The sequence below is a fragment of the Homo sapiens genome, chromosome 7 (assembly GCF_000001405.40).
Source record: "Homo sapiens chromosome 7, GRCh38.p14 Primary Assembly".
Lineage (NCBI taxonomy): Eukaryota > Metazoa > Chordata > Mammalia > Primates > Hominidae > Homo > Homo sapiens.
In genome coordinates this window covers 158555004-158582552 of record NC_000007.14, presented here as the reverse complement: position 1 = coordinate 158582552, position 27549 = coordinate 158555004, and the positions used below count along the sequence as shown (strand labels likewise).

Genomic DNA, 27549 nt, shown 5'->3' with positions numbered 1-27549 from the left:
AGAGGACGGTCTTGCTATGTTGCCCAGGCTGGTCTTGAACTCCTGGCCTCAAGTGATCCTCCTGCCTTGGCCTCTCAAAGTGCTGGGATTACGTGCATAGCCACTGTGCCCGACCAGGTTTAAGGATTCTTTGTGCGTGGAGCGGTGAAGAAAAAGCTTAATAAATGGCAGAAAGGGTTTTCATCCAGCCGAATCCCAAGAGACGAAGGCCAGATGAGCCTCGGCTGAGAACCTCTCTTATCTTTCCTGACATGATGTTCCACTTCTCAGAGAAAGCAAACAGCTAAATTCATGGCAGATAACCCTCCACACCACATAAAAGCACCTGGCAGCTCTTTCCACATTAGTTTAAGTTGACCTTCATAAATGTAGACCCAGCTGGACTTATTTTTTAATCTTAGTTGATAGAAGGCCAGAAAACCTGAGAAGCAGAAAACAGTTAATCCACTTTTCTGCTGCTTGGAAACAGTGTGGAAACAGTGTGTTGAAGGAAGGGCATTTTTTTCTTTTAATTCCTGTTATCTCTAAGAACTCTGCCACAGCCACTATTTAAATACCTAGAACAGGAAGTAAAAATGGGTGAGGCTCCCTTGGAAACACCTGCTTCTGCACATTTTAAATACCTTTTTTGTTTGTCACTCTACATCACGAGGCTGGTAAGTGGGTGGCTTTTGCAGGCAGCTGGAAAACTGGACCTCGGACTACCGAGCTGCATTTGTCTTGAACGGCTTCTGTGTGTGTAACACAAAGAAACGAGAGATGATGAGTGTTTGGTGACAGTTACTCAGTGTTAACTCTCATCTCTGGAAGTGGTAAGAGGGCATTTCACTTCCTTTGTTTTTGTCTGTTCCCTCTAATAGTCCTAACTGGGATTCAGAAAACCAAGGGCATTCCCTGGGTAGTGCCAGGACTAGGACTGTGTCTTGTGAGGGTGATTCAAGGCCATGGCAGGTGACAGGGGATGAACTAATAGTTACAAAACCGATTCTGGAGCTTTCTTTTTAAAATTTAATTTTAAATTATCATAAAGTAAAATGGACTTTTCTTTTTTGGTGTACTGTGTTACATATAGATTCAGGTGGCCACCTCCTCTGTCAGTGTACGGATCATTCCATCACCCCCAAAACTTCCCAGTGTGCTCCCTTCACAGTGACAGCCTCTCCCATCCCTGTACCTCTGGGTACCCCCAAATCTTGAACCCCTGAGCCTTCCATGTTCACTGACATGTATTCCCCAGAATAACCCGCATAGGTATTTCTATCTTCAATTTACAGATAGAAAGACTGAGTCTTGGAGTGGTTAAGGAATGTACCACAGGACACCTGGTGGGTAGTCCTGGGATGGGGTCCTAGGTCTCTGGAGCCTCCTTTCTCTCCCAGTGGTCATCCCAGGATGGGCCGAGGATTCTACACGCTGTCAGAACATGTCTCTCTGGTTGCACAGAACAAGGACGTCTGTCTCGTTCTTACAGGAGTGGGGACCATTTCACTTGTCAAACTGCCTTTCTCTTAGAAGCTTCTCAACCTCAGGCCACGGAGATTTTAAAGTGCTCTTTGGCACCAGCAGGGGATTGATTTTCTGAGTTGGGTTTTGTTTTGGGTGTCAGATTCAAATATTTGGTGTGCCTTCTGAGGGAATTTTGATGTTTGGAAATGGGCGACTTATTTTTGGAGACTTTTGTCCTTCCCATAATGGCAGGGAATGAAAATGCCACCCTTAGGATTCACTACTCGATGTGTCCATAAAAATTTTATGTTCCGAATGCTTTCTGGGCTTCCGTCAGGTTTTTAAAAACGTGGTGACACAAACACCAAAGAAGTGAGCTCTCATCTCAGACTTGTCATAACAAAAACCCACTTCAGAATAAGGGATGAGAGAGGGATTACTTTCCTAAGAACATTTATTTAAGAGTAGGTTCTGTTTAGGTTTGATGTTTAGAGTGGCAAGCAGGCAGGGGGTTGGTTCAGGGACTCCCTACTCTTTTCTGAACTATGCTGGTGGAAGGAAAGTGTAGAATTTTCTATCATGTGATGTGGGTGCTCCGTCACCACGTGGTTCTGAAAGGTCATTTTGAAAAGGCTTCTGATGCAGTGTTCTGTATACAGCACAAAGGGCATGTTTAGAAATGGTTTGTTTGGCGGAAGGAATTTTCAGAAGGAAGGCTGACCTGGTTTCTGAAAGGAAAGGACTTCATATTAATCATGCAAGTGAATTCTGGTTCCAAATGTGAAATACATTCAACTTGTAAATGGATGGAGCCGCTAATAAAATTGGCAGTCAGAGGCTGTGATTTTAATCCAGCTCAAAGCAGCAGTTAATCTGTGGTACAATTTGAGGCTGACCCCACAATGTGTACATTCTCTGAAATAGCCGCTCTTCTAGAGGACTCAACTGTGCACACCAGCGCAAGCTCCATTTCTTAGCCGGAGGCAGGGGATGGAACATAGGTAAAGCAGTGGCAGGAGCTGCTGTCTGATGACTTCCCACCTCAAGTCCATTTTGTCCCTCACATCTCTTTTACTAAGAGTTCTTGAATCTCTTTCTCTGCTTTTCCTGAAAACAGGCCAAGGTTGAGACCACTGGACTTCCATCTGATTTGAGTGTTCTGCACTGAGATACAGCTGTGGTTAGAGCTGCTGTGGGAAGCACAGCCATCAGTTCCTATGGAGCGGCACCCATTCTTGTGGTAGAAGACTTGCGGCATCCATGTGCCTGCTTTGTTATGCTGTTATGGTCCTTGATTCTATGAAATAGCCAACATGAAATTATGATCAGTTAAGGTAACAGAAATGGGGCTTTTTCACTGAAATAGAAAGAGGATTCTAGCAGAGTCAGAAACTGCTGGTGATTTCTGCAAATATGGTAGGGAATAGGGAATATGTGGCTGTTTCAAGAGCACAAATTAAATGACAGTACTGCTTCCATGCAGCGTGTTGACAGATTGAGAGGTCACCTTATCTTTCCAATCAGATAATCTTTACAGTTTGCACTTGCACTCATATTAGAAGTCAAGAGAAATGGAAAGACTTCACCTATAATCTCTCTGGATTTACACCTTGAGCAAAATACCTGGTTCTTCATGTTTTTGAGAGGATTACCTGAGATGGGTGGGAGAGTCCTTGGTAACCACAGAGTTTCTGATAAGTCATAGTGGTTGTTATTTTTGGATGCTCCAGGTTTCTACAGTTAATGTTGGAGGTGGTGGCTGACAGGATGGAATATTGTTATTGTTAGAAACAATATTACTTTAGAAAATCCAAGTCTCAGATGAACTGACAATAGAGATTATTGCAAAAGCATTGCCATTACCTTTTAAAGAGTAATATCATTTATATTTCTTAATAGGCATATCCAAACAGGTTACATCAATAAGGATGAGGCCTGGTTTTGTTGTGATGATGAGAGTAACTGATGGTGACAGCCCTTTGGAGTTTATTTCACATCATCCCTTTGATGACTGTAAAGCCCTTGAATAAAAGAAGTGGGACTTGGCCAGGCGCAGTGGCTCACGCCTGTAATCCCAGCACTTCGGGAGGCTGAGGTGGGCAGATCATCTGAGGTCAGGAGTTCGAGACCAGCCTGGCCAACATGGTGAAACCCCGTCTCTACTAAAAATATAAAAATTAGCTGGTTGTAGTGGCAGGTGCCTGTAATCCCAGCTACTTGGGGGGCTGAGGCAGGAGAATCACTTGAACCTGGAAGATGGAGGATGCAGTGAAATGAGATTGTGCCAGTGCACTGCAGCCTGGGCAACAGAGGGAGACTCTGTCTCAACAACAACAACAACAAAAAAAAAAAGAGAAGAAGTAGGACTTAAGGGAACAATAGACACTGGGAATGCCTAAAGAAGGGAGGGAGGAAGGAGCCAAGGGTCAAAAAACTACTTATCAAGTACTGTGTTCCTCGTTTGGGTGACAGGATCATCATAAACCCAACAGTCGGCATCACTCAATACACCCACGTAACAAACCTGCGTATACATGTACTCTTTGAATCTATGATTTTTTTTTTTTTTACAGAGACAGGGTCTGGCTCTGTAGCCCAGACTGGAGTGCAGTGGCATAGTCATAGTTCACTGCAGCCCTGAACTCCTGGGCTCAAGTGTTTCTCCCCACTCAGCCTCCTGAGTAGCTGATACTACAGGTATGTGCCACCATGCCTGGCTTGAACTCCTGGACTCAAGTGATCCTCCTTCCTTGTCCTCCCAAACTGCTGAGATTATAGGCATGAGCCACCATGCCTGGCCTCTGGAATCTCAAAAAAAAAAAAAGGTGACTTAAATAATATTCATACAAATTTCTTACAAGTTTGAGTAGAAAGTATAATAAAAAGAGATAGTACATACACTTTTTTTAGATATGCTAAACACTTTCTTTTAAAATGTTTTATTATGTAATATTTGATAAATGCAAAATTCAGAGCACGTTTTTTAGTATACTTGGCATGTCTAGGTTGCACTGTTTTTAAGTGCCTGAATTTTGGTCTTGTCAACGAGCTTGCCGGGTGGGTGTTGTTCCCTTTGCTCTTCTGAAGCGAGGTGAGTGTCTGGCTGGCTTGCTTTGCCCTCTGGCCTGCAGGGTAAGGGTGGGCAGTCTTGCTGTGCCCATCTTCCTGGCCTGTGGGGATGGCAAGGGGAGAGGGAGGTGGCCGGGCAGTGCAGGGTCTGTGTTAGGGCCCAGTGCACTATTCAGAGTTTGCACAGGGCCCTTTCCCTTACTCCATCCACTTAGGATTGTGTCAGAGTCCAAGGGGAGACCTGTGGGCCCTGGATGGGCCCTGTCCCTGTCATCACATCCCATACTTGGGGATCGGTGGCTCTGGTGGACCCCATTCCTGTGGTCACATCCTATCCTTTATCTGTCTGTTTTATCAGGTTACAACAGTCTTCCTCTTAGAGGAAATGAAGACAAGGTGAGTGCTCACTTTGCTGTTTGGGCTTTCTTAGGAGCCCACAGTGTTGTGCAGGCCCCATGCTGTCTGTGGCATTCGGGAGGGCTGGGAGCCCTCAGTGTTGTGCAGGCCCCATGCTGTTTGTGGCATCAGGCAGGGTGGGGAGCCCTCAGTGTTGTGCAGGCCCCATGCTGTCTGTGGCATCAGGCAGGGTGGGCAGCCCTCAGTGTTGTGTAGGCCCCATGTTGTCTGTGGCATCAGGCAGGGTGGGGAGCCCTCAGTGTTGTGCAGGCCCCATGCTGTCTGTGGCATCAGGCAGGGTGGGCAGCCCTCAGTGTTGTGCAGGCCCCATGCTGTCTGTGGCATCAGGCAGGGTGGGGAGCCCTCAGTGTTGTGCAGGCCCCATGCTGTCTGTGGCATTCAGGAGGGCTGGGAGCCCTCAGTGTTGTGCAGGCCCCATGCTGTCTGTGGCATCAGGCAGGGTGGGGAGCCCTCAGTGTTGTGCAGGCCCCATGCTGTCTGTGGCATTCAGGAGGGCTGGGAGCCCTCAGTGTTGTGTAGGCCCCATGCTGTCTGTGGCATCAGGCAGGGTGGGCAGCCCTCAGTGTTGTGTAGGCCCCATGCTGTTTGTGGCATCAGGCAGGGTGGGGAGCCCTCAGTGTTGTGCAGGCCCCATGCTGTCTGTGGCATCAGGCAGGGTGCGCAGCCCTCAGTGTTGTGTAGGCCCCATGTTGTTTGTGGCATCAGGCAGGGTGGGGAGCCCTCAGTGTTGTGCAGGCCCCATGCTGTCTGTGGCATCAGGCAGGGTGGGCAGCCCTCAGTGTTGTGTAGGCCCCATGTTGTTTGTGGCATCAGGCAGGGTGGGGAGCCCTCAGTGTTGTGTAGGCCCCATGCTGTTTGTGGTGTTTGGGAGCTCTCAGTGTTGTGCAGGCCCCATGGTGTTTGTGGCATCGGGCAGGACTGGGAGCCAGATGCCCTGTGCATTTCCATCTTGCTCCAGAACCTCTGTCTTGACCACTGGCTGTCAGCCATGGCTCCCCATGCTGTGCTTCTGTGGGACCTTTGTGGTGTGTTCCTGTTCCTTATGTTCACTCAGATCAGCAGCATGTTACTCCCCGGAGGCCTCTGCGGGAGAGGCAGGCAGAGGTGCTGGTGGGAGGCTCCTTAGCAGCCCCCATGTCCCTGGTGGTGCAGGCTGTGGGCCCCGGGGCTTGTCCCGAGAGGGCCCCTCATGTTTTCAGCCCTTTTTCTGGCTCACACTTGTGCCTGGAATGTGCTTAAAAAAGGCTTTGAGGCAGAGTTGTGTGGAATAGAGAAACTGTGACGTCAGAAGCAGAACTTTACAGAGATGTTCGTTCTTGCAAAACGAGTGTGGTCTGAAAACGGCTTCTTCTGCATGAGCCTGACAGGGTTGCTGTGCAGGCAGCCCGGGCTGGCAGTGCCTGGCTGTGAGTGACTTGGTGTGTTTGCAGACACACAGCTCTGTCTGAGTGACCACACCAGGGGACACACCTCACCCAGGCCTGGGAGTTCCTGCTTGCTGCTTATTTGGGGTAAGAGGCAGGCTCTTCCAGCGGGGAAAGTATTGACAGCATATGGAATGGGGATGTTGCAAACTCAGAGAACATTTTTTAAATGAGTTTTTCATTGCTGTGAGCTTAACAAGAAGGAAGCATTTTGATCACTTGAAAAAGGAAATGTTTTCAAGTGGAAAATATTTTTAAAAATAAAGATTAGATTCTTGGTTTAGTTTTCTATAAAACAATCTACTTATTTTTAAATTTTTATTATAATTTCTAGTAATACTGAAATTATTATTGGTTATAACTATTTTGTCTCTTTGGGAAGTAAGATGTAGTTCTCAAGAGATGTGTTGATTTAGTGCCCTTCTGAGAAAATAAAAACATGCAACTGTGTGAAAAATTTGGATACTTATGTAGTTATGCCTCTTGTATCCTCCACAGGTTCTGAGGGGTTGAAATATAGATGTAAAACCTGGCCGGGCACATTGGCTCATGCCTGTAATCCAAGCACTTTGGGAGGCTGAGGTGGGAGGACTGATTGAGGCCAAGAGTTTGAGACCAGCCTGGGCAACACAGTGAGACTCTATCTCTACAAAAAATGTAAAAAATTAGCTGGGCCTGGTGGCACACACCTGTGGTCTCACTTATTTGGAAGGCTGAGACAGGAGGATCACTTGAGCCCAGGAGTTTGAGGCTACAGTGAGCAGTGATAAAAAGTAAAACCCATCTTATGGGGCTAGCCAACTACATTATTGACAATATCAGTCAATAGCAAATGTTAAAAAGTGACGTGTTTGGTTTATTGGTACTTTTAAATAATATATAACATTTGTTTAATGATTTAATATTTTTCATAGCACTCTGAAAGAACGTCAGATATTCAGGGTAAGTCAAGCACTATGAAAAAAAAGAATGTCCCAGATTGTTACAGGTGATTTCACATAAGATAACATGTTTGACAAAGATTGTAGATAAAATAAGTACGAACTCCAAAATCAAAGCCTCATTTTGAAAGATTCTACCATGTGTGGGTATATTGTTAGCATGTTCCAAATGTTGAAATAGTTCTTCTAGACTATTAAAAGATGCTACTTTCCTGTGTAAAATAAATGACAAAAGGGAAGAAAAATATGTCCTTTGAAGAAAGGATGGAAGTCTGTTTTAATTTGCAGCCTGAAGGAGAAGAGGGTGAGTAGTCTGGTGGTGGCCAGTTCTGCCGTGTAAATCAGTGGCTCTCACCTCTGCTGCTGGGACTAGGTGGATGGCGGACAGGGACGTTGTTCGACATCCTGCAGTAGGCAGGACACTCCACGGAGCCACCCACCCAGTGTGCCAGCAAGGCCTGTCCAGCAGCCTGATGCATGTGGAGGAAGCTGCCGGGCATGCAGTCCTCACATGTAGCAGAGGAAGAATTTGGCCTAAATTATGGCAGAACAAACTTTAAAAGAAAGAAAGAAGTATTGGCCCCTTCCATGCCACCTTCCAGTTCTGGCTAGAGTAACTGCCACAACTGAAAATCTGATCCTATCACTCTTCTGCCAGAGCTGCCCCACATCTAACCTTAGGAAGGAAGCCCAAGCCCTGGACAGGGCTCTTGGGCCCTCACTGGCAGGAGGCTTCTGCCTCATCCCCCTTGTGGCCCCTCCTCTCAGTGTCTCAGTGTCTGATGGCGCCACCAACAGAAATGTGCATTTATTTACCGGATACATATTCTTATTTACAAGTTATATATGTGCTCTACTGAACTCATTGTATGTTTATAATAAAAAATTCAAAACAAATTTAAGAGAATGAGAAATTAAACATCACTAATGATTAAAATATTTTGCTGAAGATACAAAAACTTCTTTGTATTCACTAAAATTTTTATTAATGTGATTAATAACATTTTAGATACTTAGTTTTTAAGTGTCTAATCTGGAGAGCTTCAATCTATGGTTATTTGCTGTCTCGATGCACAATATATGCTGAGAACAGTGCTCATCACTACTGAAAATATGCATAAATCTATAATTGAGAAAGTCCGAACGATGATTTTTAATCTTTCTGGTTGCCTTCTTGTGGGTCTAACTGTGATGCTTTCCACTTCAAAATGTGTCTAAAGAAGAGCTCCCATTGGAAGTACAGATTTTCTTGTATTTGTCTTATTAACAATCCACGATTCCTTTCTAAGAATCTTTTCAAATCTCTGGATTACGTATAGTTAAAATGGGTCACCTAATCCATAAATCTCTTCACAGGCCCATGGAAATTGCAGCATAGTTTGAGAATGACACAAGGGGGCCCACTCTTCTGGCACCAGATCCCAAGAGGCCATTTGCTGTGGGGTCTCGTGGGGCTCCAGCATTAGCCCATATATCAAGCTTAATTTTTAGGACATCTAAGAGTGGGCATATGTCAATATATATGTTCAGTAATTTTTGCTGAATAAATGAATACATCAATTACAGACTCTCAGAGCTGGAAAAGAGTCTCTGGTCCAGTTTCATCGATTCATAAGTAACTTCCACATAAGGACATTCAGACCCAGGCATGGGGAGTGACTTGCTGTTGACCTTCCTGGACAGAGACCCGAGCTCTTGGTTGGTTGATTTTCAAGGAAAGAACCCCAGAGACATGAAGCTGTGGTGAGCACTGGCAGTCAGAAAGGAGAAGTGGTCACTCCTCCAGACCGCTTCTAGCTCTGCTACTCTAGGATTGGATTGAAGACCCCTATGCTGACTCTTTATTTTTAAAATTGATACCAACGAATGACTTTTCACAAGTAACATAATCTTTTTCTGAAAATTGTTTGACTTTATTTAAAAATCTATTCTGGCCTCCTCAGCACCCAAAGTTGATGTTTTCTGCATTTCTAGGAAGCAGATTCCCTTTCCCATCCCCCCTCCATTTCTCTGAACATCTTGAATTGTTTAGCTGGGTATAGTGTTAGTGACATACAAAGAAATGTTGATGATCAGATGAGGCATCTGTACCAGAGGATGATCATTAATTCCCATTAAGTATTTTTATAAAAGTAAAATGAGGGAAGAAATACATTACTGTGTGCCTCAGAAGACTCTTGTCCATTCATCATGCATCATGCTAATTACTCTTTTAAATTTAGATTCTTAGTCTAAGAACATTTCAAAATGAATTAACAACTATTCCTCAGCTTAGAAAATGTCATGGAGTGAGATTTATTTATTTAGTTGGAATAAAATGTAAATCATTCAGAAAGTATAAACTCATACTTGCAAGCTTACTATACTGGCAAAATCAGTGGGCTGATAATATGTACTATAGTCTCATCTTTATTTAGAAACTGCTGTTCCTATATCAGCTTAATAATTTTTTACTGAAGAACAAAGTGTAAAGCAATTTAAGTGGCAAAGATCTCTGAGTGCTGTGTCCAGTAGTGGTGGACTAAGGGAGTCAATGACCCTGGCACCAAAAACAGATCTGGACAAAATGTATGAAATAATGAAGGATCACAGTGATGAGTCAGAGGGCAGAGACCCAGGAGAAGGGTAGGGATGTGGCACTTAGGGTCAGTGTTTTCCAGAGGTGTCAGCCGGTCCTGATCAGGAGCCTCGGAGAGCTGTTGGGCAGAGGTCCCTGGTATGCCTCAGAGACTCGAGTTAGGACCCAGCAGGCTGCACCCAGAAAGGGTTCAGCAGACAGCTGTCTTCGTAGGCACAGAGCTGGCTCAGTGCCCTGGTGGGTCAGGGCTGTCAGGGCTGCTGGAATCCTCAGCCGCTAGATGGGGCAAAGTGGATCTTCTCTGGAGGAGGTAGCATAACTAGAGCCTTAAGTTAACCCCACAGTTGTTCACATCACTACCCAGTACCAAACAAAACAACATTTTGAGGGGAATTCATATGTTTATCCTTTTCAGGTTCCTCTATCTCACTGTGAACGAAGAGGATCAGTTTTCCACCCAACTAGACAGCCAGACAGAGAAACCTCTTTTCAGAACATTGTACTGAATACCTACTATGTGCTAGTCATTGGACTTGCAAACACGAGCAAGACAGAGTCCCTGCCCTCCAGAACCTTCCCTGCTTTCCAGAAGCTCCTGAACCTTTTCTGCCTTCTAGAACCTTCCCTGCCTTTCAGAACCTTCTGTGCTTCCAGAAGCTCACTAGCACCTTTCTCTTTCCAGTGCATTCCTAGTGCTTATCTTATAGTAGAATTTCATGAGGTTAATTCACTTAATAACTCTAGAGAATTTTCCATGTTGTATATACTGTTCTTGGCTCGGGAAGTTCTTATTCATCTCCACGTGTGATAAGACTTTGGTGAATAAATGCACCATTTTATTCCGTGGATATTTATTTAGTTGTGTTTCCTAATTTTTGCCAAGAAATGGAAACAGCAGCAATGAAATTGGTTTTTATTTTTTTGGATCCTTAAGAAATAGGTGCTTTTTGAAGAATCAGGGGAGAAGTAACGCAAGACCCCAGAAGTATGCCAACATATAAAACCCCAAGTCAAAAGGTCAAACCACGCATTTGATCCCTCAAGTCCCCTGCTTGACCCTCTTCCAAGTGTACTTTCCTTCCTTTCATTCCTGCTCTAAAGCTTTTTAATACTTTCACTCCTGCTCAAAAGAAAAAAAAAAAAAAAAAAAAAGAAATAGGTGTGTGTTTTTTTTTGTTTTTTTTTGTTTTTGTTTTTTTTGAGTTGGAGTCTCACTCTATTACCCAGGCTGGAGTGCAGTGGTGCAATCTCAGCTCACTGCAACCTCTGCCTCCCATGTTCAAGTGATTCTCCTGCCTCAGCGTCCCAAGTAGCTGGGATTACAGGCGCCCACTACCATGCTTGGCTAATTTTTGTATTTTTTAAGTAGAGATGGGGTTTCATCAGACTGGTCTCAAACTCCTGACCTCAGGTGATCCACCCACCTCGGCCTCCCAAAGTGCTGGGATTACAGGCGTGAGCCACTGTGCCTGGCCAGAAATAGGTGCTTTTCATGAAGTGTGCCAACACACGGCATAATTAAAAAAAAATAAGCAAAAACAAAAACAAAAAATATTCCAAGCCTTGCCACAGGGCTTGGAAATAAAATGAAATAAAATCAAATGAAATAAAACAGAATGGATTAAAACCTGAAGAGGGACTAGGTGGAGTGTCCGGTGCGGCTCCTGCCAGTGCGTCAGCCATGGCGGCGGCTGCTGGGAAGGCTCCTGCGTATGGCTTTGCCATCCGGGACCCGGGCTTTGCTCTGCAGGGGTGGGCTTCTGAGCAGAGGAAGGCCAGAGGTAACCAGGTCCATGCACGTTTGTGTCTTTCCACAATGTCGGGCTTTTATGGATGCTTTTAGTCTCAGTCACAAAAGCCATGAGCTCCACAGGGTTCCTGAGGAGGCGGTTCTCCTTGGTGCTTCCCGGTGAGTCCGTGGTCGGAGACGGGGGCTCACAGGCTCAAGCTTCTCCGCGGGCTCTCGGCGTTGCAAACCGTACCCAGCCGCGTGCTGAGCCGGTATACACGTGTTACGGCGGAGACACGCCGCAGCAAGCCGGGTGACACTTCACATCAAGGAGACTGTGTGGGAGAGCGGGCTAGCAGGCCACTCGGGGGGCACGGAGGACACAGGGAGAGGCTTCAGTGGCAGAGCCGGCCGGGGGATCGGGACCCACCACGGGGAGACGCGTCAGTTGAGGGGTCGGAGCTGCCGAAGCCGCTTTCTCACGGTGCAGAGTCCGTCTGTGAGGATGGATGGTGGGAGAGGGTGCTGGAGGGCGCTCGGTTCTGTCCTCATCTGGTTGGACGCAGCCTTTATTATGTATTAATTTATTTATTCAGCAAAACACCTTGTCCCGGTTGGCAGAGCGCGGTGGAGTGTGGGGTGGAGGCCTCTGAGGGCGTCCCTTATACCCCGGCGCGCTGCTCAGGGCGAGGACCGAGGGCCCATGGCCAAGGAGCGGCCTCCAGAAGGACACGGAGCCCGGAAACGCGGGCTGTGGCTGCGCGCTCCCCGCCTGGCTGCCCAGGTCGGCCTGCAGGGGTTGGAGACGGCTCCGCGGAGAGCCTGGGGCCCGATCTCAGCCCGGCGCGGCGGCTTCTCGGGGCTTCCCCCTGCCTGGGGGAAACGGGTGGAGGACGCGCCTGAGGGAACGCGAGGGAGGAAAGGCCTGGCGGCCTTGGCGCGTGGGCTCTGGGCTCCCCCGTCTGCGAGCGGCACCCGCTGGCCAGGGCGCGGGGCTGAGGGAGGCCGGGAGGGCGCCGCCCCGCGCTCCTGTCAGGCGGCCTCGCGCCCCGAGTTCCTGTCAGGCGGCCTCGCGCCCCGCGTTCCTGTCAGTCAGGCGGCCTCGCGCCCCGCGTTCCTGTCAGTCAGGCGGCCTCGCGCCCCGCGTTCCTGTCAGTCAGGCGGCCTCGCGCCCCGCGTTCCTGTCAGTCAGGCGGCCTCGCGCCCCGCGTTCCTGTCAGTCAGGCGGCCTCGCGCCCCGCGTTCCTGTCAGGCGGCCTCGCGCCCCGCGTTCCTGTCAGTTAGGCGGCCTCGCGCCCCGCGTTCTTGTTGGGCAGCCTTGTGCCCCGCGCTCCTGTCAGTGGCGCCCTCGAGGCCGCTGGGAGCTGCTGCCTCCGTGTCCCCTCTTCCTGGTGAGGGGCCCAGCAGGACCCTGAGAGCAGGACCCTGAGAGCCGGACCCCTCGGCCCCACAGCCTGGCGTGCGCGAGCTCCTAGCCTTCCTCCGCTGTGACGTCCCGGGGAGGGTGTCAGGGAGTCTCGTCCGCCCAAGCGGGCGCATCTGGGTCTGGCCCTCGTCCTGTGAGGCCCACGTGATCTTTTTCGAGGTCGCTCAGTGGTGATTGAGTTCTGGGAATTAAGTCCAAACTCCCTGGTTTACAACCCAAAGCCGGTGCGTTCGCTCAGGGACACGGGGCCTCCCTGGGCCAGGAGCCTCCAGGGCACGGCCAGCGCCAGTCAACCCGTGGAAACGCTGCATTCCTATTGTCAGATGTATTCCCCTTAAAATACCTAAATTCCTGAGATTTCACATACATACATGTACAGTTAGTTATATGTGTTTTGAAACACATTCTTGCTCTGTCGCCCAGGCTGGAGTGCAGCCAAATAGTCACAGCTCACTGTAGCCTCCCATGCCTTGGGCTCCAGTGATTCTCCTGTCTCAGCCTCCCCAGGAGCGGGGACCACAGGCCTAATCCCTCACACCTGCTTAATTTTTGTATTTTTTGTAGAGATGGGGTCTCACTATGTTGACCAGACTGTCCTCAAACTCCTGGGCTAAAGTGTTCCTCCCACCTTAGCCTCCTGAAGTGTTGGGATTACAGGTGTAATCCTGTGCCTGGAGGAATATTTTTTAATGTTAGTAATTTTTAAAAGAAGTGTGATAGGAAAGTTTTTTTTTTTATTTAAACATTTTTAGTTACACACATAAAGATTTGGCAACTTTACATGTAGGTTACCCCAGTTTGTTAAAAAAGATTATTAGTCTGTGAAATTAAAAAGATAGAAAAAAATAGAAACCACTATTTTAAAGAATATTTCTGTAAAGTGTGATAGGTGAAAGCTGTTTGCTCCAGGAGTAGTTGTTTAGAGTATTTGTTATAAATCTCAGCTTTGTGTAATACAAGTCAGTCATATGATTTACCCCAGTATTTGAAGACCCTCTTTTCCTGCAGATTTCCTCAGTAGTTCAAAAAAAGAAAATCTACTCTAAAAGCTGTTTTTTTTTTTTCTTCTCCAAACCAAGGTCTCCAAAAGGAAGCATGTGATGTTCCTACCGCCTCTGGGAGTGACATATAAAAGTTTGGCTTCGCTATATTGTGTGTGAGCTTGGGCGGTTCATCTCCTTTCTCTGCATCTCAGTTTCCCCATTCTTGAAATGAGGAAGTTGAGCTAGATACTGTTTGCAGGTATAAAATTTAAAACATTATTATTATTATTAGACAGAGTCTCACTCTTGCCCAGGCTGGAGTGCAGTGGTGTGATCTTGGCTCACTGCAACCTTTGCCTCCAGGGCTCAAGCGATTCTCCTGCCTCAGCCTCCCAAGTAGCTGGAACTACAGGCATGTACCACCACACCCAGCTAATTTTTATATTTTTAGTAGATACGAGGTTTCACCATGTTGGCCAGGCTGGTCTCGAACTTGTGACCTCAAGTGATCTGCCTGCATCAGCCTCCCAAAGTGTTGGGATTACAGATGTGAGCCACTGCACCTGGGCAAAAGAGTTTTTAATAAAGGAAAGATAAGAGTCTCATCAGCTTCTGACTGTCGTTAGCACGTTGGTCATTTCTGTGTCCAGGCCAGACTTGGAGTTGGGATGGCCCGTGCCCCATCTTGCACACCTGGGCAGCAAGGAAGGGTGGGATGAGGTGAGATGGGGGTTCACCATTTGGTTTTCTCTGCCCCTCATCAGGTGTGGGGGGGTGCAGCCCCCAGTGTTCACTGGGCTTGATGTTCTCTCCCCTTGCAGAGTCCCTGACCATGCTGTCTCTACCCCTTTCGGCACGATGCCCGTACCCCTTCAGTCCGCTTGCTCCTCGAGGGCCATGTCCCCGCCCAAGACAGCTTTCCCCTGTGTTTCCAATCAGTTAATTAACTTGGCTGTTAATTGGGGACCTACTTGTGTTGTCCAGGGCCCAGCCTGGGCGTAGCACGTGGCAGGAACTTAATGAGTGGGAGCCGGAGGTCTGCATAGAGCCTGCTGAGTCTCAGCCTTGACATTTCACATCACTGTAATGAAAAGCCTTCCTAAAAATAATCTCTGCTTGCATCATGTCTAATAGATTCTGTTTGGAGAGTGGAAAATGCAATCGCAGGCACGGCTGGCCTCGTCAGGCCTGTTTGTCACAGTGACAGAATGGCCAGTTCTCCAGCCCAGCAAACGCTGGGATAAACACCATAAATATGTGGGAAGTGCACACAGGTGTGTGCCAGGCAGGTGGCCCGTGAGGGCAATGGGGCTTTCTCTAATGTTTGATCAGTCCCACATTCTAGCCTTTGTTAAGGATTGGCTATGTTAATGGGGACTTGTGAAAATGTAGATACTTAAATTAGAAGCACAGGGAGCTGTTCTCCTTACCTTCCTCCCCTTCAGAAAAAATGAAGAAGAAAATGAAAAATCCTTTCTCCTTTGGAGACTTTTATTTATTTATTTTTTAAACTTTAACAATCTTTTGGTTGGGCATGGTGGCTCATGCCTATAATCTCAGCACTTTGGGAGGCTGAGGTGGGTGGATCACTTGAGGTCAGGAGTTTGAGACCAGCCTGGCCAATATGGTGAAACCATCTCTACTAAAAATACAAAAATTTGCTTGGTGTGGTAGCGGCTCCCTATAATCCCAGCTACTTGGGACATTGAGGCAGGAGAGTTGCTTGAACTCAGGAGGTAGAGGTTGCAGTGAGCAGAGATTGTGCCACTGCACTCCAGCCTGGGTGACAGAGTGAGACTCTGTCTCAAACAAACAAAACAAAACAAAACAAAAAAAACCCCACTTTAACAATCTTTTATTACCAAACCCCGCGAAGGGTGGCCAACAGCAAAAATAGCATCTCTAACAAGATCCAGGATGGAGACCTTTAGAGGAGGGAATTCAGAAATTGAGAAAGGACTTCAGTTTCAAGTGTCCAGGGCTCCCTAGTCCTTTAAATGCCCAGTCACCTGCAGAGTACCTTTTGTGCGGTGCTTGTGGCAGGATGCCTGGCCCGGGGCTGCCAAGTGCCCGCTATGGGGCCTGTTTCCCAAAGCTTGTCCTCGGGAGGCTACAGTCAGCTCGATGGCTGAGTCTCTTCTGGAATTGCTCAGGAGCTAAAGCTTGGCCACTTCTTTTTTTTTTTTTGAGACAGTTTTGCTCTTGTCACCCAGGCTGGAGTGCAATGGTGCGATCTTGGCTCACTGCAATTTCCTCCTCCTGGGTTCAAGCAATTCTCCTGCCTCAGTCTCCTGAGTGCCTGGGATAACAGGTGCCCGCCACCACGCCCAGTTAATTTTTTGTATTTTTAGTAAAGACAGGGCTTCACCATGTTGGTGAGGCTGGTCTTGAACTCCTAACCTCAGGTGATCCACCCACCTTGGCCTCCCAAAGTGCTGGGATTATAGGTGTTAGCCACTGCGCCCGGCCAAGCTTGGCCACTTCTGATGTCAGTGGATAAAAAGAGTAATTTTATTGATTCTCAAAGTTATCAAAATTATCCATAATCTCAGGGAGAGATTTTTAAAGGGAGAGAAATGGCTGACACAAAGGAAAATATAGGTGTCCTAAATATTTAGAGGACAGTGTTGTGGGCTTAGTGTCAGGTGACCTGTGGAAAGTTCCTAAGAAGCTCCATGCCTCGGTTTCCTCATCAGAATATCCTGCATCTGGCAGAGACAATAGGCAGATCTGTGTTTGGAGATGTGGGACAGTCTCTAGACGTGCGGGTAACTACGGGAACAGTGCCTGCCTCCAGGGTTCCTGGGGGGCTTGCATGAGATGGTTTCTATGTCTTGTGTGTAGAAAGTAAGTTGGAGTCATGAAGTAACAGAGGGCGACTCCTGGACCCTTGGCGTCTACCGTGCCTTTGCTTACTTTCTTCCTGGGGATTTTCCCGTGCTTTGACAGTTGTTGAAGCCTGCAGATCCCAGACGGGAAGTTTGCCGTCCGAGTTAAGATTTCTCACCATTGAGCTGAGGCCCTGTTTGGAATTCTGAGCAAAGCTGCTATTTTGGGGACACGTCCACCTTTGTGCTCAGCAGAGGTGGTGTCCAGATGGCCTGTGGCACCTGGGGTTGAGATGACCAGCCACAGCCCAGAGCTGGCTCTGTCTCACCTCTCAGGATGAGAGGTAATTTGCAAAGTTCCTGGGAATTTGCAAAGTTCCCGGTAATTTGCAAAGTTCCCTTTGGTGTGGTTGTATTTAAAAGCTGCATATTTAGTTCCATTCTGATAATCTATGTTTATGTAGCCACAAATATGCCTGTATAGATTGCAGCTCTAAAAGTCAAATACGGCTGGATCCTGATACTCAGATCTGATGTAGCACGGACTGTGTCATGTTCCTGGGAACCTCATAGTTTTATAGAGCAGAAGCCTCCATGCCTTGTTTGTTTCATCCTTGCCTTCCTCCACAATACAATTTTCTGAATGGTGTCAGCATCCCTGGGTCCATGCATGGCTGGGATGACTTTTTAGAGTTTGTGTAAAGCCGTTACGTGGGGCAGGGCCTGCGCAGGGTCTCCCTCAGGAGAATGCAACTCTCATTAAAGAGCAGGCACACACCACAGGGAAGGCACGAGCCTTGCACATTTCTCCTTAGATTTGCACACATTTCTCTTTAGCTCCCAGCAGGGCGTCTGTGACCCTTCATTTTCCTGGCTGATATGGGCCACAGAGCCATTTCCTGGGCTGAGAAGGGATCTGTGGTCTGCCGTGCTGAGCTGCCCGCCCTCTGGCCTTACCACTGGCATTCTTTGCCTGTGCTTTAAATAAACATGTGTGGGTGAAGCTGCCATGCTGAGGGAAAGGGTCTAGATGGAGCTGGAGGGTGCAGTGGAAGGTGAGGAGTCAAGCCAGGTATTCCTGGGGCATGAAGGGTGGGCAGGGGGCTTGGGGGCTGGGGCCAGGGCCTGGCATGCACCCGTCTCCTGGCTCCCTGGCAACTGCCTAGCCCCGTGCTGCTTCGTGTTGGTTCCATGCTTCAGGAGCACTGGGATGGCAGCCGCACAGCTGGCCTTGCTGGTGTTGGTGATGGGGGTGGTGCCTGGCAGCCTCACGTCCTGGTGATGGAGGTGGGAGTCAGCTCAGCTGCTCACAGGTCGATTGGCTGTATCCATCACAAAATGTACAATTCTATTACCCCCAAATCCCACTTCTAGGAATTTTCCTTACAAACTTACTTGCACACATGTGCAAAGATGTTTGCATAAGCGTGTTCATTGCTGCCTTTTTTTTTGTCATAATACTCATTTGAAACAACTTGATTTTTCATAAGCAAGAGGTTAGTTAAATATATCATATTCACACCACAGAATATCCTGCAGCTGTTGGAAAGAATGAGGTAGGTCTTTGTGTGGAGGTACGGGACAGTCCCTAGACCTGTGATTAACAAGACGTATGGCAACAGTTAACTCAGATCCAGAGCTGGCTGTGCCCCCCGCAAGTGCTGCCCTAGCCCTTTCTTTGTATCATCTTTGTATAATTTTGTTTAATCATCCCAGCAGCCCCCTGATGCAGGAGCTGTCATGATGTGTGTTTCGTAGACATCCCAGGCACTGTGGCATCAGAGCCCAAGTTCTAACCACTTACTGGAGAACAAATCCAGGTGTAAGGAATGACCCCAATCTTAGAAATATATGCTATGCATAGATCCTATAAACAGAAAAGACCATTCCCTAAAAAATAGGCATCTAATCAAAGACCTCACTTGTTTCTTCACAATCTGAGGGATAAGGGGAAGGGAGGGAGACTGTGCCCCTAGATGGAAGGCCCCTCTCTTCTCCCCTCACACATCAGTGCTCATGTACTGCCACGCCACATGCCTGTGAGTCTCTGCAGAGGGTGTGCCCTGAGCTAACAAGGATGTTCAGATGTCCCCGGCGAGAGCTGCAGGATTCTTCATCCAACACTCCCATCGGGGTGGGCTGGGAGCATCTGAATGCTGTGTGATTAGCTCCACTAAGTGTTTGTTGTAATCAAGTTGCATTTCCACGGCCTTATATCTTGGTCATTTTTTTAGCTTGCACCAGCTGGGTTTTGGCACCGCCTCACCCAAACTTCATATTATGAGACATCACGGCCAACTTGCAAACTGCTGCAGTAATAAGACTTGCATTTTGTGATGCTTTTGTTCTCACTGACGTGCCGTATCTGCGTTCCACTTGGGTACTTCTTGCTTTGAACGAGAAGCACAAGGCTATTGGCGAAGTTGATGCTGGGGATCGGTCAGCAATTTCATATTTTCCAAGAAGCCATTTTAGGACCCTGGACAAGGTCTCGAGCTGCAAACTTGTGGTCCTGCCTTGGGAGAAGGCACAAATTTCCCTGTGAGGTTTCAGGTAGGACCTCTCTTCTTCGGTGGCACTGCACCAGCAGATACCTTCTTTGTCCGTGCAAGGCTTCGAGAGGCTCTATGTGGACGAGGCTGTGGCCGTGGTTGATTTCTCTGAAACCAGGAGGACCACACCCTGCCCCCTCAATGTAGGTTTTCCTGGGCCAGGAAACATTTGCTGTGGGAAACACTCCGCTCTCGGCCTCTGCCATGCACTAATGCTGGAACGGATGGGGACACATTCTGGTCTTTAAAGGGCCTGCACTCAGCATGATGAAGGCTTTGTTGTTTAGTTAATTCACATTGTCCATACATGGGATTGTTGAGCTGTGTCCCATTCTGTTGAGGTATGTGCCCCTGGGAGCGTCATTGATCCTGACGTGGCAAGGCTTCACGTATGATTCAGGCCAGCGGTCTTCCAAGAGCTTTGCCTTCACGCCATTATCACTCAACACACTCTCCTTCAGGCTCCCAAGCAAGCACACAGGGCTTCATGCACAATCAGCCTTGTGGCTTTCAAGTGCTAAATGGACTATTAATAATAGGAAACTTTAACATAACACTGGGTTTGTTTGTGGGAGGTGGAATGGGTGTCTTAATGCTGACAGGCCCTGGGTTTCGCTGCATTGATTTGCATTTCCTCTGCTGCTGTTGCCGCAGTTGATTCCACGATTATATTTTTCATGTAAAGGGCAGATGGAGGAGTAAGGCTATTTGCCCTCTTCCTGTTCTGGTCTGGGTGTTTGTCCCCGCAAGTGCATGTGTTGAAACCTAGCTCCTGACATGCTGGTGTTAGGAGATGGGGGCTTTGGGAGGTGACAAGGTCTCAAAGGTGGATGCTCCTGATGGGATTCGAGCTCATCAGTCACTAATAAGGCAGCTCCAGAGAGCTTCCTCGCCCCCTTCATGGAGTGAGACCATGGCGAGAAGGCGTCATCTATGATCCAGGAAGCAGGACCTTGGGATGCCGAGTCTCCTGGTGCCCTGCTCTCCGACTTCACAGCCTTCAGAGCTGTGAGAAATCAAGGTCTGTTGTTTCCAGGCCACCCGACCTGTGGCATTCTGTTACAGTTCCAGCTAAGACATTTCCTGACAGAGAGACTTCTCTTGGAGGTCATGAGATCTCAAAAGACATGTGTTCATTGGCCCCTTTGTGAATCTCTTCGCACGAGAGAGAGGCAGGTCTGCAGCTCAGTGTCTCAGCCCTCAGTGAGCTTCCTCTCAGTGTTCCTCTTCTTGGGGACCACGCTTGCTGGGCTGCAATGCTTCACCCAAATTGTGGTGTTCCAGGGCCACGGGCAGTGGGGATGGGAGGTAGGGAGAGCTGCTGCTACTGTGGGGGGTGGCACGGTCCCCCCTAGTGAGAGTTTGGTCCTGGTGTTGGCCCGGGCCATCTCCCCTGTCGGAAGTGTCTTGTCTTGCACAGGGACTGTGCACAGACCTGTGCTATGCTTTTGAGTCATTCAGGATTGTTAAATGTCAAAGTGCATTTTCTGAGGTATGTTAGACCCAATATTCTGCATTTCTGACCAGCCCTGGGGAGGCCAAAGCTGCCAGTCTTGAGGCCACAATTAGAGCATCAAGGTCTGAGTCAGTGCAGAAGCCAATGAATTATCAGAAAAAGTTTATACTTGCTTTAAAATAAAAAAAATTGAAATATCACCCAAACCTTCTGGTGTGTAACACCATTTGGTCTTTTCTTTAAAAAATTCCTTGTATTTGGTGAGAAAACATGCAGTTGCTCAAGGTCACCCATGTCCTGCAGAAGCGGCATTTTCCTCTTTACAGAAGGAGCCCCACACCCCCGAAGAGCTGTCAGGGGGATTTTCTCAGGCAGGGGTTTATCTCTTAGACCTGGGGAGACTTCTAAGGCAACGGGTGTTACAGAATTGTAATTTTCAAAAATACCTTGAAGTAGTAATGAGAATTACTGGGGTTATTACTTCTAGAATCATTGGAAATTCTGACTTCAAGGAACTATGAGAATTAAGTAATCTAATGTCCCGATCTACGTAATCTTTCTTAATCTTTGATATTTATTGACTTGATCAAGTATTCATCAAGATCAAGGGTGGAAGACTTCACTAAAATTAGAAACAGGGCTCCCGATTCCCAGGCCCTGCCCTTCTTGCCACACTAACAGAATAACCCTGTGCACATTCTGACATGTGAATGGGCCTTATTGACATGCATGGACTACAAAAATCAGATTAATCAACCGATGCCCAGTCACACGTGAAGGAACAACATATGGACAAGATTTCTCTTCGATGCAAGGCTGCGTTGCTTTAGGTTTTTTAACCTGTACCCTGCTGGGAGGATGCAGGTTAGGACAGCTGCCTTCTTTTAAAGCTGTTCAAGATGCAGTGTTCTAGTCATGTGTTTTTGGCAAACCAAATATCTTTGGCTCTAACTTAAGGAGTAACATTCACATGGTTGATGTCTGTTCTCAAAGGGCTTCATGAAAAGTGCCGCCCATGTGCCCCTGCTCATGGTGGGTTTCTGCTGAAGGTGAGGCGATGGCCACACCTGCCTTGTGAGACTGCCTGGGGACACAGTGAGGAACCGCCACACGGTCCCAGCACAGTCCTGCGCGCGGAGCGCAAGTGGTCACCGTTCTTACACGTTGTGTTCTCTGCATGTTGACACTTAGTAGGGTCTCAAAGAATATCAGTTCCACTTTCACCTAGCAGTCCAGCAATTCATGTAAAATAAGCAAACCCCCCATTTGTCCCCTAGCGAGGCCAAAACATTTGCCTATTACTCTAAGTGTTCGTGCACATGATCAGAAACTATATGAGGTAAGCGTTAAAACACGCCCACTTCTGGGTACATACATACCTGAAACCATCAGAAGTAGGGACCTGGACAGATATTGGCACATCCATGCTCATAGCAGCACTATTCACAATAACCGAAGGTTAGAAGCCACCCAAGTGTCCACTGACGGATGAGTGGTAAGCAAGATGTGGTCCATCCATCCACACGGTGGACTTATTACCCAGTCTTCAGCGTGCTACACCATGGGTGGCCTTTGAATACATTATGCTGAGTGAAAGAAGCCGGTCCTAAAAGGACAAATGCTGTTTGATACGAGGTGGTTAGAATCATCAAGTTCACAGGAACAGAAAGTGGAACGGAGCAGGGGAAAGGGGAGTCAGTGTTTAATCGGGACAGAGTTTCAGTTTGGGAAGGTGAGAAAATTCTGGGGATCTGTTGGAGAACAATGTGCATAGTTAACACTAGTGAACTGAAGATTTAGAAATGATTAAGATGGTACATTTTATTCTATTTTTACCACAATAAAAAAATATGTAAGTGGGGAGACAACAGCTGGGAGGATTTTGTTCTTTGACATCGCCTCACCTCTCAGATGACCTTCTTTGCTCCAGGCCTTCCAGGGTCCCTGGGACCAAGGACCCCAGTCATGAGGGAGGCAGCCTGTGTCCATTCTTTACTGACATCACTTCTGTGAGAGGGAGTGGCAGGGAAGGGGCCAAAAGGTGATGCAGGGGTGATTGCAGCCTCAGAGGGGGCCCTGAAAAGCTGGCTGGGTGAGGTATCCCCGCGGTCACCTCCTGTGGTCACATCTCAGAAAGAGGAACTGCTCAGGCTGAGTGAACAGCCTATCTCCTCTGCACCCTGCGATGGGACAGTCGTTATTTGCATTGGGAACGAATATTCGGTAAGAGGGAGGCAGGTGAACAAGTGGATGTGCCTCATGGTGGAGTCCTGCCAGGCTGGGTATTGGCCTGGAAAGATGGAAGTGTGTCATTCTGAGAAAGAAAAAGTCAGGTATCAAAAAAGTACATATGGTATGACCTCATATGGATCGTTAAAATATTACAGTGTTGAGAAGTATGAGTAGGATGTGGTGAATGCATTTTATTTTCTTCTTTTTTGCTTCTCTTTAAGAAAACATTGTGTAATGAGAGCAATAGAAATTCATTTTTATACAAAATATTTTTCTTATTATTCCTTTTTAAATGGGGTGATGAAGAACAAAGAAAACATGAGAGAAGAATCTCCTCCAAGCACTGGAAGAATTCCTGCTGGGGGCTCCGGGAGAACCATCACTTTGTGGCCTCTGCTCTGTCGGGATCTGGGGCCAGGCAGGGCCTCACTGGGTCTGGGTTTGAGAGTCTTCCTGGGCCTCTGGACCCCCCAGTGTGGCCCCTCCCTGCTGCCTGCAGACCTCGGGGATCCAGCTCCTCCTCATTGGAAACATGACATACAGTCATAATTAACCCCTGGTCAGACCTGGGGAGGTGTTAAGAGGTGAGAGGTCTCTGTCTTCTGGGCCTCATCTCTTGGTGTGCAGTCTGAGAGCCTCCTGTCCAGAGAAGCTGAGTGGCACCCCAGAGGAAGGACTCCAGATTACTGCTTTTTTTTTTTTTTTTTTTTTTTTAGTCTAGCACTGATGTATCCAGAAGGTGCAAGGACCTGCCTGGCTTGGCGTGAATACTGAGGAGAATCCTGCTCCTCTCTGTGCCAAATTATGGAGACTCTTTCCCTGCTCACCTTTGGGTCCCTCATTGCTGCACCTGTTTTTTCACAGGCTCCATTTGTGAGGACACACCTGCCTCTAGGTGCCTGGAAATATTGGCTGGAGGTACCCTGCCTCCGCTGGGCTCTGCAGGTGCCAGGCCTTCATGTCCCTGGGACCAACTGGTAGCTGGGCAGTGTTCACTGCTCAGCACCCCCTGGGGCAGCACCCCAGGGACAGTTTACAAATGGAAAGCTGCACCCTGCGGCCTCAGGATCTAAAGAAGAGAACATGGCCATAGGCTAGAGACAATCCAACAATACATTTGGAGTCTACTAATTTAGTATTTGTGTCTGGACTGAAGTTACCTGTTATGTAAGAATTATTTTAAAAGACCTGGGTGCAGTGGCTCAGGCCTGTAATCCCAGCACTTTGGGAGGCTGAGGTGGGAGGATTGCTTGAGGCCAGGAGTTCAAGACCAGGCTGGGCAACATAGCAAGACCCCGTCTCTCCAGAACAATGAAAAATTTAGTGGGGTGTGGTGGCTCTTGCCTGTGGTCTCAGCTCCTTGGGAGGCTGAGGCAGGAGGATCCCCCAAGCCCAGAAGTTCAAGGCTGCAGTGAGTAATGATGATACCACTGCACTCCAGCCTGGGCAACAGAGTGAGACCCTGTCTCTAAAAACAAAAATACAAAGAATTATTTAAAAGGGGGTCTATGAAGTTAACCAATAGCTACTGCTGGGAAGATGGCGAGGTGCCTTACCAGGAGAGCTTTATCAATAGTGCTGCTGGGAATGCTGGGAAGAGGGCGAGGTGCCTCACTAGGAGAGTGGACCACGGGGGTTTCCATGCACAGTCAGTGTGAGGGTCCCAAGTCACCCTTCCTTCCTGACCACATTGGCCAGCCCACTTCTAGGCGCCATGGTGCTCTGGAAACGCTGTTTTCTTTGAGCACAAACATCCCAGGTTGCTCACTAGAGGAGGAGCTTTAGAAATCTCAGTGGGTTCTAAAGGTGTGAGCCCAGAAATACAGCTACATGATGAGAAAGCGTAGGCCAGGAGGGGCCTGTTCTCAGCTCTTCAGAGAGAGAGGTGAGGAAACACACCCGAGCACAGCCAGCCACGGGTTGAGCGGAGCGGCGGCCGTGACCTTTGTGGACTGGCTGGCTTGTACCTGCAGGGCCAAGAAGCGACTGAGTGGACCATGGCACCAGGTTGGGGAATCAGAGCCCATGATGGCAGAAAAGATGTCTAACCTGCACGGGAGCTGCCTGACCTGCGCGGGAGCTGCCTAAACTGCGTGGGAGCCGCCTGACCTGCGTGGGAGCCGTCTGACCTGCGCGGGAGCCGCCTGCCCTGCGCGGGAGCGACCTGCCCAGGAGCGACCTGCACAGGAGCCGCCTGACCTGCGCGGGAGCCACCTGCCTGGGAGTGACCTGCACGGGAGCCCTCTGACCTGCGTGGGAGCGACCTGCGTGGGAGCCGCCTGACCTGCGCGGGAGCCGCCTGACCTGCGTGGGAGCCGCCTGCCCTGCCCGGGAGCCGCCTGCCCTGCGCGGGAGCGACCTGCCCAGGAGCGACCTGCACAGGAGCCGCCTGACCTGCGCGGGAGCCACCTGCCTGGGAGTGACCTGCGCGGGAGCCCTCTGACCTGCGTGGGAGCGACCTGCGTGGGAGCGACCTGCGTGGGAGCCGCCTGACCTGTGCGGGAGCCACCTGACCTGCGTGGGAGTGACCTGCGCGGGAGCCGCCTGACCTGCGTGGGAGCGACCTGCACGGGAGCCCCCTGACCTTCACGGGAGCCGCCTGACCTGCCCGGGAGCTGTCTGACCTGCGCGGGAGCTGCCTGACCTGCGTGGGAGCGACCTGCGCGGGAGCCGCCTGACCTGCGTGGGAGCGACCTGCGTGGGAGCAACCTGCTCGGGAGCCGCCTGACCTGCCCGGGAGCCGCCTGACCTGCCCGGGAGCCGTCTGACCTGCGCGGGAGCTGCAGTGTTCTCTGAGGGGAGGAGACCAGGTTTTGTTCTGTCTATCCTCTACCTATCTACCTTTGAATCATCTCCATTCACCTATCAAACATCTATTTATATAACTTATCTTTCTAATCTATCTTTTTTTTTTTTTTTGAAACAGAGTTTTGCTCTGTCGCCCAGGCTGGAGTGCAGTGGTGTGGTCTCGGCTCACTGCAACTTCCGCCTCCCAGTTCAAGTGATTCTCCTGCCTCAGCCTCCTGAGTAGCTGGGATTACAGGCATGCGCCACCATGCCCGGCTAATTTTTGTATTTTTAGTAGAGACGTAGTTTCACTATGTTGCCCAGACTGGTCTTGAACTCTTGACCTCAGGTGATCTGCCCGCCTCGGCCTCCCAAAATGCTGGGATTACAGGTGTAAGCCACCATGCCCAGCCCATCTAATCTGTCTTTACGTATCAATCATCTCTATCTATCTATCTAATCTATCTTTACCTGTCAATCGTCTACCTATCCATCATCTATATCCACCTATCAATCACCCATCTATATCTATCCTCTATCATTATCTATCATCATCTATCAATAGAACATAGTCTTTCACATCTAACAATGTCTATCAGCTATTTATCAATCATCTATATCTGTCATCTAGTCTATCCTATTAGGTATCTATCTATCTATCTATGACAACCATCTGTTGATCTAGTAAAGAAGGACATTCCAAGGCTGTTTTGATTTTGTAGGAGAAAGCCATTTGGTGCCAACTCTGTACCTAGTGAAGATTTATTTTGGGACGTGTGTTGTGTGTGCCATGTTGTGATTATTGTTCACAGATTTTGTTCTCTGCGAGCTGGGTCCTCGAAGATAGGATGTGTCTTCATCATCCTGAGCTTGCTGGAGCCTGTCTCTGTGGTCTGCCCCATGTAGATGGCCTGCTAGGCAGTGGGTGGAACCCGCTGGGAAGCAACACCGGCCACCTGTTGGCGGAAGAGCTCCCTTTACCCTTCAGATTCCTGACTCTGTTGCCAGCTTCTGTGAAGGGTTGACGGGCGGTGCTTGTGCCCCTAACCCTGCCATGGGAGCTGAGGGAGGCTGGGTCTGGGGGACAGCTGGAAGATGCCAGTTGAGTGGAAATATATTCTTCTGCCAAGGGCACAATGGGAGAGAACGAAAGGGCAGCAGGACTGCCCCTGTGTTGGGATGGGACATGGCAGCATGGGCCTCTTCCTGCTCCTGCCCCACCCCGGTGACGTCAGTGTTGGGAGGTTTCAGCGAGGAAGGCAGGGCAGAGCGGTGGGGGCGAGGGGCACCACTGAGCCGTGGATGCTGCTTGTGAAGGGAGAAGGACCTGCTTCGTTCGACGCTGGGCTTGGTGCCGCCTTCTCCTGGAAGGACCTGACTGGCGCCCTAAGGCATAAGCCCCAACCTCCCCCAAAAGGCAGCTGTGGGATCTTGCAGTCGTAAGAGCTGCTGAAGATGGAAAACTTGTGATTTCCTCTGGCGGAGTTGGTGGTTGCGTCGGGGGTGATTTGCAGTAGATCAGTCTGCTGAGCACCGGAGATCCGTTTGTTCTCACAGGCTTTCCTCTCATTCCACTGTGACGCTCTTTGTAATGTGCATCTGGTGTGTGACTCTGTATCAGGCTTGCTGTGGGCAGCCTCAGAATTCAGGGCCCAGGCAGGCATCTCCGGTGAGGGGAGTT

General features: G+C 48.8%; 1 protein-coding gene and 1 long non-coding RNA gene across 13 annotated transcripts in view, besides 1 other annotated feature; both read left to right on the top strand.

Annotated features, from left to right (window-relative positions):
* PTPRN2 (protein tyrosine phosphatase receptor type N2) overlaps positions 1–27549 on the top strand; it is a 1048768-nt gene that overhangs the window by 5271 nt on the left and 1015948 nt on the right. The gene's annotated exons all lie outside the window — the stretch shown is intronic.
* LOC124901793 (uncharacterized) lies at positions 48–10721 on the top strand. The gene is made up of 2 exons (XR_007060623.1): positions 48–2780; positions 10291–10721. It is a non-coding gene; the product is annotated as an uncharacterized LOC124901793 (long non-coding RNA).
* Positions 1922–2216: an enhancer, noted in NCBI's record as "tiled region #10119; HepG2 Activating DNase matched - State 5:Enh". NCBI's record gives its function as "activates a minimal TATA promoter and a strong SV40 promoter by Sharpr-MPRA in HepG2 cells {active_cell/tissue: HepG2}" and the evidence as "EXISTENCE:reporter gene assay evidence [ECO:0000049][PMID:27701403]".